Source organism: Homo sapiens, chromosome 7, assembly GCF_000001405.40.
Source record: "Homo sapiens chromosome 7, GRCh38.p14 Primary Assembly".
Lineage (NCBI taxonomy): Eukaryota > Metazoa > Chordata > Mammalia > Primates > Hominidae > Homo > Homo sapiens.
This window is the reverse complement of record NC_000007.14, coordinates 4204292-4223968: the sequence shown is the minus strand read 5'-3', so window position 1 is coordinate 4223968 and position 19677 is coordinate 4204292. Positions and strand designations below refer to the sequence as shown.

Sequence of the window (19677 nt, the reverse complement as noted above, 5' to 3'; positions counted from 1 at the left end):
TCTACGCTTCATGGACTCATTAGCCAACAAGGTCCAGCAGAGAGTCTACAAATGACTGTGATTTCAACGTAAGGACACATCTAAACAGCATTGTGAAATATCTGCAATGGCGGGGAAGTCATACGAAAGTACTCCTGGAAGTGTCACAGGGCCTACTATGAGTTATGTGGTTTCTTAGCTAATATTATGCATTGAATTATGTCTCTGCCCCCCACTGCAAATTCATACGTTGAAGTCCGAACCCCCAATACCTCCCAATGAGCTTATTTGGAAATAGGGTAGTTGCAGATGTAATTAGTTAGGATGAAGTCCTGCCGGAGTAGAGTGGGTCCCCAGTCTAGTATGACTGGCGTCCTCATAAAAGATAAAACTGAGATGCAGACACACATACAGGGAGATCACCATGGGAAGATGAAGGCAGAGATGGGTGAAGCACCTGTCAGCCCCAGATCACCCAGGATGGCCTGTAATCACCAGAAGTGGGGGAGAGGTTACAGGAAACAGATCCTCCCTCACAGCCTCAGGAGGAGCCTGCCCTGCTGCCACCTTGACTGTGGGCTTCCGGCCTCCAGAACTGTGAGACAACCCATGTCTGTTGTGGAGGCTGCCTAGTTTGTGGGACTTTGCTAAGGCAGCCCTGGATAACGAATGTGCCTGCATCCATAATTACAGGAAATGCCAAATTCTAGTTAGAGGTCAGTGAAAATAAAATGTGTATTTTCCCCATCCAAGCTCACGGATCTCCTGAATTCTATTTGTGAACGCCTGGATCCTATTTGTTATATCTGTCACTGTGTCAGGACACTCGTACCCTCCTCCCCCACCAACCTGCTTTTGAAAGATTATTAGTTACAAGTGCCTTCTAGAAACTTTTTTTTTTTTTTTTGAGACGGAGCCTTGCTCTGTCACCCAGGCTGGAAGAGTTGAGGAAGAAATCGGTGCTCTCCCTGGATATGGGGAGGAAAGTGTCTGAAGTGGTTTCTTAAGTCTGGGCTGCTCCCTGCCACCAGCTCCCTCCCCCTTGGCCTCCACAAAGCCTCAATTTGGCCCCAGAACCCACACGTCTCAGCTCCTGTCAGTCTCTGAAAGTGCTCTTGAATCAAAGTCATTAGCAAAGGGCCAGCTGGCTGTGTGAGGGGCCATGGGCTTTCACAGGCAGTGACCACAGGAGGCCCCTGCCAAACTCACATCCTTTACCAACTCAGGACCCTCTGTTTCCACAACAGGACAGACGCCCTGCTCAAAAGATACTCTCAGGGTCCCCCAGGCGAGCACGTCTGGATTTCTGAGTTATTGAGCCAAAGAAATGTTTATGTTGCCTTTGGCTTTTTCACGCTTCTGCACTAGGTTTCTCCTTAGAAGTTTCTAGAAGGCGGCTGGGCACCGTGGCTCAGGCCTGTAATCCTGTCACTTTGGGAGGCCGAGGAGGGTAGATCACTTGAGGTCAGGAGTTTGAGACCAGCCTGGCCAACATGGTGAAACCCCCTCTCTACTAAAAATATAAAAATTAGCCGGGCGTGATGGCGGGTGCCTGTAATCCCAGCTACTCGGGAGGCTGAGGCAGGAGAATTGCTTGAACCCGGGAGGCAGAGATTGCAGGGAGCTGAGATTGCACCACTGCACTCCAGGCTGGGTGACAGAAAGAGACTCTGTCTCAAAAAAATAAAATAAAGAAGTTTCTAGAAAGCACTTGTAACTAATAATCTTTCAAAAGCAATTTGGTGGGGGAGGAGGGAACGAGTGTCCTGACACAGTGACAGATGTAGCTTTGGGGTCTTTCCTCTTGGTCTAATAGCCTGTTTAAGTATTAGACTAAACTAGTTCCTAGCACCGTGGTCCTGCCAGATTGGCAGGTGGGGTTTGATGGTTTGCTTCCTGAATAGCGTCCCTGACACATCACATATTTTCATGCTCAGATGTTCATGATTAACTGTGCAACCATCTGAAGGTCATATTGGAGCTGTTCCGTGCTTTCTGTGTTAGGTGATACCCACTAGCTCCAAGCAGTCATATCCGACGCACCCGATCAGAAACTCATTTCCCAATAATGCCCATCCTTAGTTATTAAAGGCAAATGGAAGGAAGGGTGAAAAAAATTATTCTGGTGAATAAGGCTGGAAATGGATCTTAGACCTCATTTTCGGAAGCCTAAAAAATGAAGCAAACGATGTGTCGGTTTCACTATTAATAAGAATCTTCGTATTATCAGAAACAAGCCTGACGTTTTCCATCTCGGCAGCAAACATTTAGAACCCTGACATGAGTCCCTGAAAACATTCATGGATGAGTTTGAAAATGCCTTTTAGTGTCCCTAAGTTCTCATTCACCTGTTTCTAGGAATAACCATTATCATCCTAAGTAAGTGTCCTGGGGCTAAAACATCCCAAAGCGTATGCCCTTAAGGTGAACCGCACAGTTGTGACTATGAAGACTGGGAGGAGCTGAGTGAGCCATGGATGTCTTCTTTCACCAAAACCGCCCTCTTGGTCCCAGCTTTGTGGGGGGAAAATGCTGAAAGAGAAAGTGATGGAAGCCCCCGACACAGTCTTAGAAGCACTGCCGTCCGCTGGGCTGAGACCCCGTTTGTGGGGCCTGCCACCCTACCTGAGGGCCGGGCCTCGATCACATAGCCCGTGGTAGGTGTGTCGCCAGAGTGTCCCTCAGTCCACTGCAGCGTCAGTTCAGAGGCGGACTTGGTGACCAGGACATCTCTAGGCGAGCCCGGGGATCCTGCGGGATAAAGAAGAAAAGAGAGGTGAGGCATCAGCCCTGCGGGGCTCACATCCCACCCCGTGAGATTTCACAGTGGGGGGTCAGACCGGTCGAGGCTGCAGAGTGTCTGGGCAGGTTACTTAACCTCACGCACCCAGGGTTTTTCATCTTAATAACAGGGAGGCAAGGCCGGGCGTGGTGGCTCACGCCTGAAAGCCACTTTGGGAGGCTGAGATAGGTGGATCGCTTGAGCCCAGGAGTTTGGGCAACATTGCAAAAACTTGTCTCTACAAAATACAAAAAAAAGTAGCCAGGTGTGGTGGCTTGCACCTGTAGCCCAGCTACTCAGGAGGGTGAGGCGGGGTGGGGGGTGGGGGTATCGCTTCAGCCGGGGGAGGTTGAGGCTGCAGTGAGCTATGATCATGCTGCTGCACTCCAGCTTGGGTGACAGAGTGAGACCCTGTCTCAAAAAACAAACAACAACAAAAAAACCTGAAGAGGGCCTGAAAGAGCTGGCAGGTGCAGGGCACCCCACACTGTGCCCGGGACTAAGCAGCACTCCCTGAATGCCGGTTCTGCAGCCCACGCCTTCCTGTCTTTAAACAAAGGGCAGAACAGTTGGATAAGTGGGAAGGTACATGCTTCTTCCCCATGACCTGGAAAACTTTAAAATTTTCTGATTTATTTCAAATGCCAAATTCAGTTATTTTCCTCTTAAGATTTCTCAAAAAAAAAAAAAAACAACTAAAACTTGACATGCTTAATATTTAACAATGTGCCCATGGATGTAACAAGTCCACCTGCAAACTCCATGTTGACGCGTGCTTTTGAAGACGTCCATGTTGCCCAGACATCCCCGAGTTGATGCCAGCTCTTGGCCGCCAACATCACCTTGTTGACCATGTAGATGGATCTCAGCTCAGTGAAGCAGGAGGCGGGAGGCTAAAGTTGCAATTGACATTGTCTGCCCCTGGAGTTCCACTTACCCTCGGCTGGCCCGGCTGTGATATTGGCTTGGAGCTCGGGCCCGTAGGTGATGGTCCGCGCTTGGACACGGAAGAAATAGGTCACTCCCTTGGTGAGGTCCCGCACCTTCAGCCAGCGCTGCCAGTTCCCTCTCACTTCCACGGTCACCACCTTGCTCACCCCTGCAGCCGCCAGAAGCAAAGGAAACAAGGGGGTTCAGCCTGGAGAAGCAACTGTCCACTGTCTGTTCTGTTGCGATAACAAGGAAAGTGGTCCCTGCAGTTTGCTAAGGAAGTATTTCTTACTATTAGGAGTTTATATGGTGGTAATAGCCAATTTTCAGCACAGATAAGTGTAATTAGAGCTTAAGCTTGGTAAGTGGGTGCTGACAAAGAAAACAACTGAGGCTGACAACACAAAAGGGGGAGGCTGCCGTCTCAGGAATGATATGAAGGAGGAGCGGGGAGGGGAGGGAGGAGCGGGGGCGGGGGAAGGGGGGCGGTCCTGCCATTCTCCAGGTTGGACACTCCAGGGAATGTCCCTTCCCACTTGGCTCTGAGCTGTGCAAAGTCTGGTGTCACTTGTAAGGTGACTGCAAGCTTCCTGACATAGTCACGAGGGAGGGGAGTGATAGGGTTTGGCTGTGCCCCACCCAAATCTCACCTTGAATTGTAATAATCCCCACTTGTCAAGGTGGGGCCTGGGGGAGATAATTGAATCATGAGGGCTGTTTCTCCCATTCTGTTCTCGTGGTAGTGAATACGTCTCATGAGATCTGATGGTTTTATAAATGGGAGGTTCTCCGCACATGCTCTCTTGCCTGCCACCATGTAAGATGTGACTTTGCTTCTCCTTTGCCTTCCACTATGATTGTGAGGCCTCCCCAGCCATGTGGAACTGTGAGTCCATTAAATCTCTTTCCTTTATAAATTACCCAGTCTCAAGTATGTCTTTATTAGCAGTGTGAGAACAGATTAACACAGGGAGCGTATACAAGATGTAGGAAGATACTCCATCTAGTTAGACCCCACGAGGAGGCTGCAGCCTGCCTGGGTTGGCCAACTTGCGGCCTACAGGCCTCAAATGAGTCATAAGAACTTCATCTGTGGACTCTGAAGCCAGGATTTAAAAAATTAATTAATTTCACTGCAAGTATTGATGCCTCGATTCAGAGGACGATGGCAACATAGAGACAAACGTCCTCAAACCTATGGGATGTTATAAACAAGTGATCATGCAAAAGTCTTGCTGGTTGGATTACCTAGAAATAGAAAATGGAGATTTCACATTTTAGGGGAGAGAATAAATATTGAAAATTACACATATGCAGCATTTTCCAGAAGGAAAAATCAAGTTCTTTGGTTAAACAAGTTTGAAAATGATGCATTAAAAAAAAAAACAGTTAGATAAGTTCTCAACTGCTGGACTTCTCAGAACTTTCAATAGATTAATCTCCACCAGGCAGCTCTTGGAGGAGGATATCAAGGTGTGGTACTTCCAGGATGGACCGATTGGCAGAGCTCATTTTCCAAGGAGCATCCCTGAGAAGAGCTGCCCTTGGTGAGTGGCACCCACCGTCCTGAGTCCACCTGCCCAGCCCTGCCCTCCTGCTGTCAGCCCTAAGAAATGGCTGCCTTGGTGCGGGAGGGTCGTGCGCTGCTAGTCAGCACCTGGAATACCCCAGTCATCTCCACTTCAGAACAGAACAAAGCGCCTTCCTACTACAAAACGGGTCCATCTTTCAAAGCCATCAAAGCAAATTTCTCTTATCCTAAAAATCTCCAACATATCTTCTAGCTGGTTCAGTGTTTTCATATATTATGCCTTTTATCAAACATATATTCAGCTAAATTATTTTCTTCCGAATTATTTCAGAGCAATTTTGGCTTTTTTTTTTTGAGACGGAGTCTCGCTCTGTCATCCAGGCTGGAGTGCAGTGGTGCGATCCCAGCTCACTGCAACCTCCACCTCCTGAGTTCAAGCGATTCTCCTGCCTTAGCCTCATGAGTAGCTGGGATTACAGGCGCATGCCACCATGCCTGGCTAATTTTTGTATTTTTAGTTTCACCATGTTGGCCCGGCTGGTCTTAAACTCCTGACCTCAAGTGATCTGCCCACCTCGGCCTCCCAACGTGCTGGAATTACAGACATGAGCCACCGTGCCTGGGGCCAATTTTGGCTACTTTTGGGTGACCCTCCAAAACTGGGTTTTCCTGTAGAGGAATGGGGCATGTGTGAGCACTGACCTTCCATTGCTCAGAGAGGTGATGAGGATGGCAGTTTGTGCACATAGTGACTGTCATCAACACACAAACTGGGTCCTGTCCAATGTAAAGTGATTCTAGAGAGCAACTTTTTTTTTCATTGTTAAAAATGCCTTCCTTCTCCCTGGAGCAAAAACAAACCCAGGTACAGATTTTGTAAATTCTATCCCACAGGAGGCAGAGCCAGCCTGGCCTTCTCCCCATTTCAGGTGTGTCAGAATTTTATTTATTTAATCAATTTTTAAACCATGCCCAGCACTACAAAGCCTCAGGGTACAATCCCATAAACCACCACCATTAAAAACATTTTAAAAAATGTAAAAATAGCTCTGCCATAAAATCGGATTCCCAAGCACATGGCTGAGTGCTCAAGTGGCCTGGTGCTCCAGGTGGCCTGGTGCTCCGGGTGGTGTGGTTCTCCGGGTGGCCTGGTGCTCCGGGTGGCGTGGTGCTCCGGGTGGTGTGGTTCTCCGGGTGGCCTGGTGCTCCGGGTGGTGTGGTGCTCCGGGTGGTGTGGTGCTCCGGGTGGTGTGGTGCTCCGGGTGGCCTGGTGCTCCGGGTGGTGTGGTGCTCCGGGTGGTGTGGTTCTCCGAGTGGCCTGGTGCTCCGGGTGGCCTGGTGCTCCGGGTGGTGTGGTGCTCCGGGTGGCCTGGTGCTCCGGGTGGCCTGGTTCTCCGGGTGGCGTGGTTCTCCGGGTGGCCTGGTGCTCCGGGTGGCCTGGTTCTCCAGGTAGTGTGGTTCTCCGGGTGGCCTGGTGCTCCGGGTGGTGTGGTTCTCCGGGTGGCCTGGTGCTCCAGGTGGCCTGGTGCTCTGGGTGGCCTGGTGCTCCGGGTGGCAGGGTGCTCCGGGGGGTGTGGTGCTCCGGGTGGTGTGGTGCTCCGGGTGGCCTGGTGCTCCGGGTGGTGTGGTGCTCCGGGTGGCCTGGTGCTCCGGGTGGTGTGGTGCTCCGGGTGGCCTGGTGCTCCGGGTGGTGTGGTGCTCCGGGTGGCCTGGTGCTCCGGGTGGTGTGGTGCTCCGGGTGGCCTGGTGCTCCGGGTGGTGTGGTGCTCCGGGTGGCCTGGTGCTCTGGACAATGTGATGTCCCAGGGGTTCGAGGAGTGTTCCCTAGAGTGACGGGGATGGCTGGGGATGGCCCTGGGCTCTGCCCAGCACACAGGATGAGCCACGACTGTGTTCACAGTGGAGTGACTAGAGGAGCTGCCCATACCGGGTAAATGCTGTACCCTCTATTTGCCTTGGCCCGACTGGTCAATGCCCAGCCAAGAGTTTGCAGATGTCAGGCACAGACCTGGTTCTGGGTGAGGAGGTGTGGAAAGAGGTCAGAAGACCCCACAGATCCCCTACCAGGTGAGATCACTGTTTACTTTTTAACTATCTTTACCATATTTTAAAATATTTTGTCATCACAATATACTTCAAGGATGCCTGATGTTTCACTGCGTTTGCAACTGTTTCCCTGGGACACGCACAGACTCCATGAGCAAAATATTGAAAGTCATGTGGAGGTCCAGTTACCGCTTTTGTGGTTCCCCGTTGGGAATCCTGATGCAATAGTGAAAGGGTTAGAGTCTGGATTTTTCAGAGTCCCCCACGCAGGCACAGTTGTCTCCTAGGGGCCTCGGGGAGGAGCAGACGGGAGTGCAGCCCCTCCGGGTGAGAGTGGGAGCAGCGGCCGTGGGGCGGGGCCAGTCTGGGTGTGGAGGTGCAGGGCAGTGAGGGCTGGATGGTGTAACCTCCACGGGGTGCACGAAGCTGCTTTGCTTTTTCCCAGTCGTTGCCTTCTGTCAACCACCCTGCCCTTGGCCACACTCCATCGTGTGGCGTTGTCGTCCTTTTCAAGCTATCCCGGCATCCTCCCACATTCAACAGAGAGTTCACGTCCTCCCTTCCCCAGCCTCAGGAGGCCAAGACACTCAGAAATGCCTGCAGGCAGAGAGCAGCTGCCAGGATGAGTGCTTCCTGAACCACGTTCCTGCCAAGGCCGGTTGTGGTATCTGCAGAGTCAGCTGGGAGGAAGAGAGAATGCAGGAACGGGGATGGGAGTGGTCTGAAGCCCACTGCTTGCTCCCTGTGTGAGGCTGGGCAGGACATGTGGTCTCTGCAGAGTCCTCAGTTTCTCCCTCTGCTCTGAGGTTGGCAGCGCTTACCTCATAGGACCACGGTGAGGAGTGGAGCAGGGCAGGGGGGATGAGTGGGAGTGCCCAGCCGATAGTCAGGACCCCAACTCTGACTATTGTCTAAGAACGCATCAAGTAATAGGTGCTCCACAATCAACATGGACTCCTCACCTGCTGTACCTCTCTCATGCACGGCTGTGAACCAAACCACTCCAAAACCGAGTGGCTCAAAACCACCACCACCAAACCAGCTCCCGTACCGCGGGGCAGTCCTTTGGCCGGGCTGGCCTGCACTAGACTCAGCATGTCTGCGGTCACACATTGAGTCTCACTGGGGGTTGGCTGGCCCAGGTGGCCCCTCTCCCATGCTGGGCCGTGCGTGACTGTCACCCCACAGGCCAGCCCAGGTGTGTTCACATGGTGGTTGGGTTCCAAGGGCAGCAGGAGGACCAGGGTGCCTCCCACGTGCAAATGCTTTTGAAGCTGCTTGCCTCATGACAGCTATTGTCCCGCTGGCTGAAGCGAATCCCGTGGCCCAGCGCAGAGTCGGTGTAGGGGGACTCCGCCCAAGGCCTGGACTCAGGAGAAGGGAGAGATAGGCCCCTCCGCCTCTGCCACCTCCACCTTCACCACCCACCAATTGGGAATCTTCATCAGATGCCAGTGCTCTGGCCCCCGATGAGATATAAGCTGACTCAGTGAGTCTGATCTGCCATCCTCTCTTGGTCCACGTTCTTCTTTTGACGTATGTGGGTACGGGATGTGGCTTGTCGGACAGGCCTGGGGTTAGTGTCTCGGCGAGCCAGGGTTCTGGCCAATACCATCAGGGGAGGCAGGCGAGCGCCAGGGTCCCGAGGCTCTGCTGGCATTTGTGGTGAGGAGGGCCTTCCCCAGGCAGCCATGAGGTCCACCTGGGTGGCACTGGGGGGCAGGGTTGCTGAGTCCTGCCCGAGGGAGAAGCCAGGAGGGATCTGGAACCTATAGCCAGACTCAGGCTCATCCCGGCTGGAGCCGGACCACGGATGATGGTGCCTGCAGACTGACGGTGTTGTGGCGGGAAAGACCCCGGCGGGGGCCCCATGGCTTAGTCAGAGCCAGGTGTCATGTCTAGAGGAAGCTCTATAAGGCCATTGGGTGGGGGCTGGACGCCTCATGTCACCAGCACCGCTGGGCAATCCACACCTGGATCCGCTGCTTGACTGATGTGCAGGAATCCGAAGTCTGGAACGTGCCCAAGCCCCCAGCAAGCCCAAACGTGGGGGGTCTGCATGGCTTGTTCTTCCTGACACCCGGGGAGGCCTGATGGAGCTTTTTCTGCTGAGATCCTGGCCGCCCCTCAGCCTGCAGAGCCAAGGAAGGAGCTGCAAAGCAAGACAGTGCTGCTCCCCTCTCGCTCTAATCTCAGAGCACATTGCCTCGGTTGCAAAGCCAGGAAAATCCAGGATGAAGGAACCAGCCCTTCGCAACAGACAAAAGAGACAAGGCTGGTGACGGACGGTCTTGCTATTTGTGAAAAGAGGCGAAAACGGTTGTGACTAAAGTGACTCCACCTTTTGCCATCCAGGGGAGAGACAGGCCCCCTACTCGGCTGTGCAGCCAGCGGTTTGTCTAGAATATAAAACGCTTTAGTGAATCCTCCTCAAGCCCCATCTCTGAAGTTCACCTTCACATTTACTTTCAGAAACACAAGTGCTCCAGACGCTTTCTGCCCATCATGGAGCAGTTTAGGCCTTGGCTCTGGACTCAGAACACCTGGGTTCAAATCCCAACCCTCGTCATTATTTTCAAAACGCAGGCCTTGGGCAAATGTCTTTGTGGCTCTGAGCCCAATCTCTCTGTCTGCGGGAGGAGAAGAAAAGCTGCAGCCACAAGGTAGAGCCGTTCTGAGGATTTGGAGATAGCGGATGTTAAGTGCTGAGCACAGTGCCCGACTTGAGCTCAACAAACATCACCTATCACTGTGATTATACCTGGGGGGTGCCTGTGTATAGCGAGAACACAGAATGCCCATGTAAGCGGGACATGCTGAAAGGATTGTCTAAAAATCTTCCGAATGCTTTGAGTTTCCCAGTGATGCAAAAACTGTCATGAAACGAACAAGAAACGGCAACACTGAAAACACAAGGGAAGCCAGATGTGCAGGGTCTTGTGTCTGGGAGACTGGGCTAGGGGGAAGGTTTGGTAGAAGCCAAGAAACAATTCTAGGGGAGTGAAACTGCAGAGAGAAGAGGACCCAACACATCGAGGCCCCTGTGCGGCACTTCTGACTGGGTAATGACCCATGGAATGGCCTTGCCTGGAATGAAGTACTGGTTTTTTTTTTTTTGAGACAGAATCTCGCTCTGTCACCAGGCTGGAGTGCAGTGGTGCGATCTCAGCTCACTGCAGCCTCCACCTCCCGGGTTCAACCCATTCTCCTGCCTCAGCCTCCCGAGTAACTGGGACTACAGGCACATGCCACCATGCCCAGCTAATTTTTGTTTTCTTTTTTTTTTTTTGAGACGGAGTCTTGCTCTGTCGCCCAAGCTGGAGTGCAGTGGCGCGATCTCGGCTCACTGCCACCTCCGCCTCCCAGGATTAAGCAATTTTCTGCCTCAGCCTCTGGAGTAGCTGGGATTACAGGTGCGTGCCACCATGCCCAGCTAATTTTTTGTATTTTTAGTAGAGATGGGGTTTCACCATCTTGGCCAGGCTGGTCTTGAACTCCTGACCTCGTGATCCACTTGCCTCGTCCTCCCAAAGTGCTGGGATTACAGGTGTGAGCCACTGCACCCAGCCAATTTTTGTATTTTCAGTAGAAACGGGGTTTCACCATGTTGGCCAGGATGGTCTCGATCTCTTGACCTTGTGATCCGCCCACCTCGGCCTCCCAAAGTGCTGGGATTACAGGCCCCTGCGCCCAGCCCATGAAGCACTTTCTCACAAGACTAAGAGCAGCAGCCCAAGAGAGAAGCCCAGAGGCACACACCATGGAGTTTCCACGGAGATTCTGCAAATCCATTAACACAGAAGACTGGGGAGCAGAACCAGTCACTTACTTGAGGAAGAATGGGAAAACCTGAGCTGCCTTTGATTAGGAAGGACTCACAGGTCAATCAGAACTATGAAGCTTTCACAGTCAATTCTCATTTAAATGGTCCTCGTTGGTTATGACCCTTGAAAAGGCATTTGTAACACAGGCTCATGGAACCCGTGTGTGTCTCCAAAATTCTCTACTGTTTCTCCCTGCAGGACAAGCAAGAGCAAATGGCATGCCTGCTTCTGGGCCTCTGCTGTGGGACCTCGAAGGCAGCCTCGTCCAGGCCCCCTGGCTCCCAGGCAGGTGCTGGGCACTCGGAAGGTCACAACAGATCCTGGCCGCCCCTCGAAGTGGCCACACTAAATCCCCGTCCCTCCCATGCCCTCTCTGCTGGTTCAAAAACCATGCCCACATCTCACCTCTACTGTTATTTACCAAAGTCCATCGATTGTCTAAGACGTGATTTTTTTTTTCTTTCTCGGATTTTCACATCTCCGATTTGGGATGCAGCTCAGAATTGATGATACAAAAGTATTGGGCTCTGGTTTATTGGGAGCATTTTTTCTTTCTGAGCACTTCATAAAATAATGATGAATCTTACAGTGAATGGCATCTGAGATTCAGTGAAATAAAAAACTAGTGCTTAAATTTTCTTCATCAAATCAACTCCGTTTCATCTAAATGTGCTTATTTTTAAAGGAAACTTTTATCACGGCTTTAAATGGAGCGCCGATATTCTTTGATGTGCTCGTTGTATTTTTTCCTCGCAGACATTAAATAATCTATAATTTTTACAGTCTGTCTGTGTATATTACAGGGGGAAACTTGCCCTGGACCATAAGGCAGAGACAGCTGGACTTGTATTTCACCCCAGTGTGGTGGGAAAGACGTGCCTCCCAGACCGGAATCTTTGGTGGACACATTGGTGTCTGGATGGCAGGAGAGAGGGACACAGAAGGCACTGGAATAACACCTAAGCAGGGGTCGGGCACGGTGGCTCACGCCTGTAATCCCAGCACTTTGGGAGGCCGAGGCAGGTGGATCACGAGGTTAGGAGATCGAGACCATCCTGGCTAACATGGTGAAACCCTGTCTCTACTAAAAATACAAAAAGTTAGCTGGGCGTGGTGGTGGGCGCCTGTAGTCCCAGCTACTCGGGAGGCTGAGGCAGGAGAATGGTGCGAACCCGGGAGGCGGAGCTTGCAGTGAGCAGAAATCGTGCCACTGCACTTCAGCCTGGGAGACAGAGCAAGACTCCGTCTCAAAAAAAACAGAAACAAAAACAAGAACAAATACCTGAGCAGGGTGTGCACTGACCCAGCAGGTGCAGAGCAGCAGCCACATGCACAGCAGGGCAGAGCCACCTGCCCGCAACCCCCATTCCTCCACTTCACGCCAGTACCCCACCAGCTCCACCTTCAATACACACCCCTGATCTGAGCCCTCCTCCCCTGCCCCCGCACCCTTCCCCTTCTCGCCGCTCTCCTGTAGGATGATGCCACAGCCCCGGCCGGCCTCCTCACTCCCTGGTCTACAGAATCTCTGCCACCCGTTCTCCTCCGAGCCATCTGCATTCCACCTTCCGTTTTCACCTGTCACTCACTGTCAAGCCCCTGACATTTCCTCTTTCAAAGTCCTCTGTGTTGGCAACACCTTCCCTGCTCTTCTATGGAAGCTGTTTCCGGTTGATCTAGGAAGTGTGGAGATGAACGATAGCTTCTTTCCATCGTGACACTGAGACGGGGGATTGGGCCCGAGGGATCCTGGTCTTGGGGAGGTCAGGTCCTCCTGCTCCTGTGTCACTCTCCAGTGGGATATGCCATAGCCCCGTGTGCTGTGGCCTGCAGTGCCTGCACCCCACTCACCAAGCTCCAGCCACCAGCACCACCCAAGCTCTGCCCACCGTGGGCCCCTAGATTGGCGGATCCTCCCTTCGGAAGATCTTCCCCAGGATTCTTGTGTGTCCGGGCCCTTGTCACTCCGGTCTCTTCCCTAAGCCTCTTGTGTTAGCCCTCCTCTCTTTCCTCCAAAGCACTGATCACGCTCGGGCTGTTGTTTGCTGATTTAATTACCTGTGTGTTACCTCTGCCCTGGAATAGGAACTGCCTGGACGCAGGAAAGCCAGGGACCTGATAAACAAGCCAGTCAAAATCCTGGCTTTCCCAGGTCCTCGATTCCAGCATCTGGAGCATGTCTTGGCTTTTCCAGCATGTAGAACAGGAGCTTCATAGATGTCCGCTGAGGGGACGGATGAGCGAGGGGAGCACCAGGGTGCTAAGACACGGGGATGCCAGCATCCCTCCTAGGATGCTGAGGGTAGCCGAAGGCCTGTGTTGTGAGGCGTGGCTTCAAGTGGAACCCTGGGTGGTCTCTGTCGGCGACCACAGGACAAACATCTCGGGAGGAATAGGAGAGGAATGTCTTGAGTGTGACAGAGACAGGATCAAGGGCATATATGACACGGCTTCAGAGGGAGAGTGCCGTTCTGGTCTCAGAACACAGAGGTCTGGTCTTGGCTCAGCTTTTCCTCACAGGCCTTTCCCCGCGAGTCCCCGCTCCCCTCGCACTCAGCTCCAGCCCCGTCCAGCTCAGATTCCAAAACCCCCCACTTCAGGCGCCAGAAGGCTCCTGGCCCACAGAAGCGGTCAGGTGCGGCTCACTGTGTAGACTGCAGAGGGCTGGGCACTGGTGTGGCCCGCGCTCCCATCTCCCCAACCCCGGGTCTTACCTTGTACAGGGGCCAAGGGCTCGTACACCACCCGATAGCCCTGCAGGATGCCGTTGGCCGCCGCAGGCTCGCCCCAGGACACGTTGAGCGTGGTGGAGGTTATTTCTGAGAACGCCAGAAAGCTGGGGGCCCCAGGGGCTGGGAGAATAGAACACAAAGTGACTTTTACAGGGGCTCCTACATAGATCATATACATACATGTCTGTGCCTCCGTATAGAATAAAAAATGTTATTCGATGTTATTTTCAACTCAGTAAAAGTCTGAATGTCATAAAATGAAAAGATTTATTGATCACCTCAGAACTTCCGAGGATCAATCAGACACGCAGACCCTCCTGAGAAGAGTGGAGAAAATGACAGTGTTTAAACACAAAGGGGCTTGAGAGACAAAACGGCAAAGGCATAAAAATGAATAATAGATGGAAATAGAAAATGAAACGCAGGGAGCTCCATTTTCTAGCAACTGCTGGAGGATTCCAGAAGCTCTAGTCCTGCTCTTTGCCGGAGAGACGGAGCTCTGTGATGGATGAAGCCTCTCTTGACCCCTCCTCGCCTCTCCCTCAGAGGCCTGGGGGTTTTGGGGGACACCCCTGGCTCCTGCACGTGAAATCTCCCACCACACTCTCCAGGCTGAGTGTCCCCCTGGGTCTGGAGCGGGGAGGGAGCTGGTGGAAATATCTAGAGCTACTGAAGGTCAGGTGTGTGGCCGGGGTGATGTGGAGCCTGCTGGCAGCTCCCCCTCTGCCCGGGCGCCGTGTAAGGTGGGCGTGTACTGGGGCTGCCCCTACCAGACAGCCTAGGTGGGGGACCTACTCTCCTCGCCCTGGTGCCCCTCGCTGCTCAGAAGTGCCTGTGAAGTGGCACCCACCCTCCTCCCTCTCTGCCCTCCCTCCAGTCTCTGGGACCCACAGCTGTGACCTGCCAGGCCGGCAGTGCTCAACATGGCTCTACCCTCATCTCTGCCTACAGATCTGCCCACATCCTTCCAGCTCAGATGCGGGCACTGGATGAAGCCAAAGGAAGTGGTCCTTGCAACCTGGTTGTGGTCAGCACATGAGAGTTTGATGCCAAGGGGCCCTGATTCCCGGAGTCCATTGTCTGTGGGTCAGCTGAACCCATGGAATGTCGGAAGGCCCTGAGCCCTGCGTCTCTGCCCACGGTTCCCAGACCTCACTCTCCCAGTCTCTCAGACTTCCAGAATCCTACAGAGGGCCTTGGAGAGCTCCTCAGAGCCCAAGGCCAAGCAGCTTCACAGCATCCTCCAGGCTGCTAGGAAACTGAGATGCGCTGGAAGAGGGGTCGACTGAGAACAGGCGCTGCGCCCTGTGCGTGGAGATGAGGCCACAGCAGCGCAGCACCTGTCTGAGCCCTCGGGACTGGCCCGTGGCATGTGTGTAGTGAGCAGTCTCCAGGGGTGGTCTGTGGCCCTGAGACCCAGGGGAATTCCCGTCGCTGTGGCCTGGATTTACTGCCCGAGGAGCCTACCCCCAAGGATCTGGACATGCCATCAGGCGCCCCTGATGGGAAGTTCCATTTCTTGGAGGAACTGGAATGGATGCTGTCAGTTATGAACGAGGCCTTGCTGCAGACTCAAAGCCCTTCCTCCCCTCTGAATCTCCAGGGCTCTGGGAAAAAGCATGCATTGCTCCAACCCACCTAACATTTATTTAGCGCCACTGTGTACCAGTCTGAGGCCAGGCACAGGGAGAACAAATGAGCCAAACCCAGTCCTGCCCATCCAGAAACTCCCAGCTACTCAAAAGGTGTTGCCTTCCGCCTGGGCGGGCCGGGAACCACTGTGTGAGGGGACCTGAGCTGGCGCTCTCAAAACACGTGTCCAAGGAGGCCTGCCCAAAGGAAACCCGCCTTCCTCCTACCGGCCTGGTGGGTGCGCCCCTGCTGGGGGTCACTCTTAGGTCCATCTCCGGCGGCGTTGAAGGCTGATATGCTGACCAGGTACTTGGTATGGCTGGTCAGGTTCTTCAGCCTCACCACGGGCTCGGGGAGGAAGAGGACCTTCATTTTCTCCGTTTCGTTCTGGCTGTCTGCCTCCCAGTAGTAAATCTGTTAGGAACAGCAAGAGGTTGGGGTGGGTCCTGGGGAAGCCTTCCAGTAAGCGGGGGCCACTGAGTGTAAGGTCAAAGCGAGGGGGTGAGCTGAGTTCTGGGGCGAGCTGTGCTGGGTGGGAAGGTGGAAAGGCTCCCTCCTGGAGGAATCAGGGAGAAGCTGAGGCTACTGTGTATGGACGGGGACCCCTGGCTGCTAATGTTGTTTGGGAGACGATGTTTAACATTTTCCTGTTGCTCACCTAGAGTATGAGCATTGCCTCGTTAAACAAAGCGCTGTTGAAGATAAGTTGTGAGGACGGAAGGGAAGCTGCCCTTCAGCTGCCGATGATGTGCCTTTCCTTGCAGACCTAGCTCTGTTGGTGTTTTGATTTTTGGCCTCTCCCTCTCCCCCATCTTCTGGAGAGAAGGGAAGCCGCCCCGTGTCCACCCCCTGCTCCGAGCTATGGAGACAACAAACCCCCAACTCCTACGATGTGTTCCCACATTTTATTCAGAGCCGACATCTAAGTTTTCCTCAATATGGCAATATACTTTGGAGATTAAAGCAATCAAAAACAACAGGCAGGAGAACTATGTTGGGCTCAGGGCTGCTGGGAAGGCCTCATTCCTCTGGGGTGCCATTTCCTCTTGTCTAGCTTTTATGTGCTTGTAGTTGAACTTGACGCCCAAGCACAAAGGTTTAAAGAGGTTGCCAGAATTGCTTCCCTAGACAGCTGGCCGGAAACCACTGCTACCTCCGACCAGTGCCAGCCAGGCTGCCCAAAGACAACACCAATCAGAAGACCCACCTTGGCTCTGTGGGTCTAAACCAGGGCCAGGCTGTTAGAGCGGCTTGCCCATGTGAAAAGGCAGCACGGAGGCTTCGGGGAGGCAGCCTGGAGCGCCCCAGGGCTGGCACGCCTGCCTCGCACACCCGCCCGCCTTGCTCTTGCTGGGCAGGCCCTGACTGGTGAGCATCGTTCATTTCCACCTGCAGGATGTAGTGGGCTTCTGCTCACTGAATTGACCGTCTAAGATCTTCCGCTCGCCCAGGCCTTGCTAACTTGAGATCAATATCCAAGATCAGTGTCTTTATCATTAAGGAAATTAGAAAACATATTTTGGACATACATAAATAGCGCCATGCCTCCAAGCTCATGGGGCTCTCCATTAGCTCATTCATCACTGTAACAGCCCTGCCATGGAGGAAGGTATTAATTTTCATAACACACCTGCAAAAACCATCTTTAAATGGACATTTAATCGGTCCAATAGTCATTAGGGGAGGCTAGCCCCCAGAATCTGATGACTGATCGACTTGGGTCCCAGCAGAATAGACAGGGGAATTTATTTAGGAGAAGGATGGGGGCGTTTTCATGGCAAAGACCCCGGATGCTTATGGGCCCTGTACTCTCTAAGGAGGCCAGGCCTCAGGGATGGGACGTGGAGAGGTGCTTCCCGCCCCATGGATAACCCAGCCCCACATAATGATTCCTCACTCGACGCTCTCCTGTCATGGCCTGCTGCCTTCCTTTCTCCCCATCTCTAGACCCTCCAGTGACAATGGGCTTCTCACATGTTACCGTGGCGGTTCTCAAAGCAGGGTTCCCAGGGACCTCACATCTGGGACCTTGTGAGGAATGAGACTGGCGGGCCCCACCCTGGACCGACCGAATCAAGGGACTCACTCAGTGTCCAACTGTGACCAAGGGGGGAGCTGGGATGGGGAGCCTGGTCTCTTCCAGGCGCCCCATGTTCTTTTATAGTCAGCCAATGTACTGGGGGCTCCAGAATGGGCCCAGGAAACGGAAGGGTTCCCCAGCCAGGCCATGCGTCCAGAGTGGGGAGAAGCCAGTGGACAAACAAGGGCCCCCAACCTGGGTTGTTTTGTGGTGGGCACAGCCAGGTGTGCAGTGAGCCTGGCCCCTGTGCTGCCTCCCACCCACAAGCAGCTGTGACCACAGTTAACAGGCCAGGTCTAGCCAAGCTCCGACGCTTGGGCCCCAGCTCTCCAGGTGGAGCGCCTGCGGGGTCTGCTGCTGGCAATGCAGTAGGCAGGACCACGTGAACGAGGGGTGCCCAAGCGAGCCAGGGGAGGCAACCGCACGGGAGGGCCTTGCCTTGTAGCCTTGGATGTTCCCATTCTGGCTCTCCGGGGGTGGTGGGTCCCACGTGACCTCCAGCTGGCTGGCCGTGAGTGGGGTCACCTGCACGTTCTGCGGGGCCATGGCCGGGGCTGAGGAAAGAGCAATGCGGAGAGAAGCTGAGACGTTCATTCAGAGCCGGCCCGGACCCTCGCCCACATGCCCATGGGGCTCGAGCATGCCCTAATTCCGCTGGGAACCATGTGAGAGATTCTTCCCTGGGCCGTCGCCCTGGCTTAGGAGGCCTTAGACAGTTATGTCCTGGGATCCGTGGCTCTGTGTCCCCCTAAGAGCTCTCAGCCCTTTTATGCCAGGGAAGACCACAAATCCTTCCCATACGATGTTCTTAAATGCATACAATAAAATATATAGAATTGCACAGAAAAATAATTATACCGAGATACAGTTAGCAGAGTATTTGAAACCAAAGGTATGAGATCGTAATCCACGTGCTTCTTGGTTAATACCTGACCAGGCTTAGGGGCTGGTCTGATGGTTGCTGTGAGATCAAAGCATTGGTGGGTGAGGATGTTAACTTGAGGTCCCAGCAATGCCTGGGATGTGACAGGGTCACTGCGGCTCTATCGGCGAGGGAGTCACAGGACTCCTGACTGCTGTGGTTTTTGTCACTAATATTACTGATTGAGATTAGAGAAAAGATAGCTGTGTTCCCATGACAGGTTCAGGCATCCCTGGCTATGAAGCCCTGATCTAGATGAAGTTCGTCCAGATACACAGAGTTGCCCCTCTAAGAGGGACAGGAAGCTCCGATGTTTGAGAACATGGCTGCACTTTGCTCTCTGAGGCCAGCTCTGGCTTCACGTTCTGAGGATCCAGTCTTCCCCTCCAGCCCCCTCGCTCCCCCTGGGGAGGAGCTCACTGGGGTGCTGTCTGCGTCTGCAGGGCTGCATGGCACACGCAAACCAAAGGACACATGAGGATGTTGCGGCCGCACCTCCGCGCCTTACCACACCGCCATTAGGGGTGTGGCCGCACCTCCGCACCTCACCACACAGCCATTTAGGCAGTTGGGAGCACACGCCTGCGTTCCAGAACGCCTCCGTCCTGTCTGCCCCATGCCAGCTTCACACTATCTTTGAATTCCACGCTGCGCACTTTCTCTTGACGGCCTATTCTCTGCTACTCCCTCCTCCCACTGGGGCTCTCCCGGCTGTCCATGAGCTGGGCCCTGGGGAGCTCCAGGGCAGCTGTGCAGGGGGCCTGGCTCCCGGAGGCAGAGGCCAGCCGAGCACTCCTCTCCGCCTGCCGCCGGGGCTGCGGCCCAGGAGTGCAGCCTTTTGACTGAGTGTCTTTACGGACCATCGATGGAGACGATAAAACAGTCGCTGTCCGAGGGAGATGGCCCAGCACCCGGCTCTCTGGAGAGGCCTTCTTGGGAGAGACTGACCTCAGGACTCGCCCCTTCCCCATCACCCCCTCCCCACTTTCTGCTCTCTCCCCCCAGCGCAGAATAAAATAGTAATTAACACCCACTCAGCCTGACACCAACTATTTATTTTGTTCTAACTGTGTGGTTTCCGTATTATCACTGCCCACCCTGCCGTTAATGGAAATGTTAATAGCCCACACCAGGTTGTTGTGACAGATGCTCAGCCTCATTATCAGAAATTCTTATTTACCGCCCCATTAAACAGCAGAATCACACAAAAAAACAATTC

The 19677-nt window shown here is 53.5% G+C and overlaps 1 protein-coding gene across 6 annotated transcripts in view, besides 3 other annotated features; it reads right to left on the bottom strand.

The window, feature by feature from the left end:
- The window catches only part of SDK1 (sidekick cell adhesion molecule 1), a 967749-nt gene that overhangs the window by 45032 nt on the left and 903040 nt on the right, over positions 1 to 19677 (bottom strand). For all 6 annotated transcript variants that reach the window (NM_152744.4, XM_047420038.1, XM_047420037.1 and 3 more), the window contains 5 exons: positions 17975 to 18090; positions 15684 to 15870; positions 13807 to 13944; positions 3699 to 3860; positions 2605 to 2730 (listed from right to left, as the gene is read on the bottom strand). In NM_152744.4, the coding sequence (NP_689957.3) occupies positions 2605 to 2730; positions 3699 to 3860; positions 13807 to 13944; positions 15684 to 15870; positions 17975 to 18090 (729 nt within the window). The remainder of the gene's footprint in view (positions 1 to 2604; positions 2731 to 3698; positions 3861 to 13806; positions 13945 to 15683; positions 15871 to 17974; positions 18091 to 19677) is intronic.
- Positions 6175 to 6898: an enhancer, noted in NCBI's record as "H3K27ac-H3K4me1 hESC enhancer chr7:4256703-4257426 (GRCh37/hg19 assembly coordinates)". NCBI's record gives its function as "activates a minimal SCP1, AML or CMV promoter by ChIP-STARR-seq in naive H9 embryonic stem cells {active_cell/tissue: H9 hESC(naive)}" and the evidence as "EXISTENCE:reporter gene assay evidence [ECO:0000049][PMID:30033119]".
- Positions 17481 to 17980: an enhancer, noted in NCBI's record as "H3K4me1 hESC enhancer chr7:4245621-4246120 (GRCh37/hg19 assembly coordinates)". NCBI's record gives its function as "activates a minimal SCP1, AML or CMV promoter by ChIP-STARR-seq in primed H9 embryonic stem cells {active_cell/tissue: H9 hESC(primed)}" and the evidence as "EXISTENCE:reporter gene assay evidence [ECO:0000049][PMID:30033119]".
- Positions 17981 to 18482: an enhancer, noted in NCBI's record as "H3K4me1 hESC enhancer chr7:4245119-4245620 (GRCh37/hg19 assembly coordinates)". NCBI's record gives its function as "activates a minimal SCP1, AML or CMV promoter by ChIP-STARR-seq in primed H9 embryonic stem cells {active_cell/tissue: H9 hESC(primed)}" and the evidence as "EXISTENCE:reporter gene assay evidence [ECO:0000049][PMID:30033119]".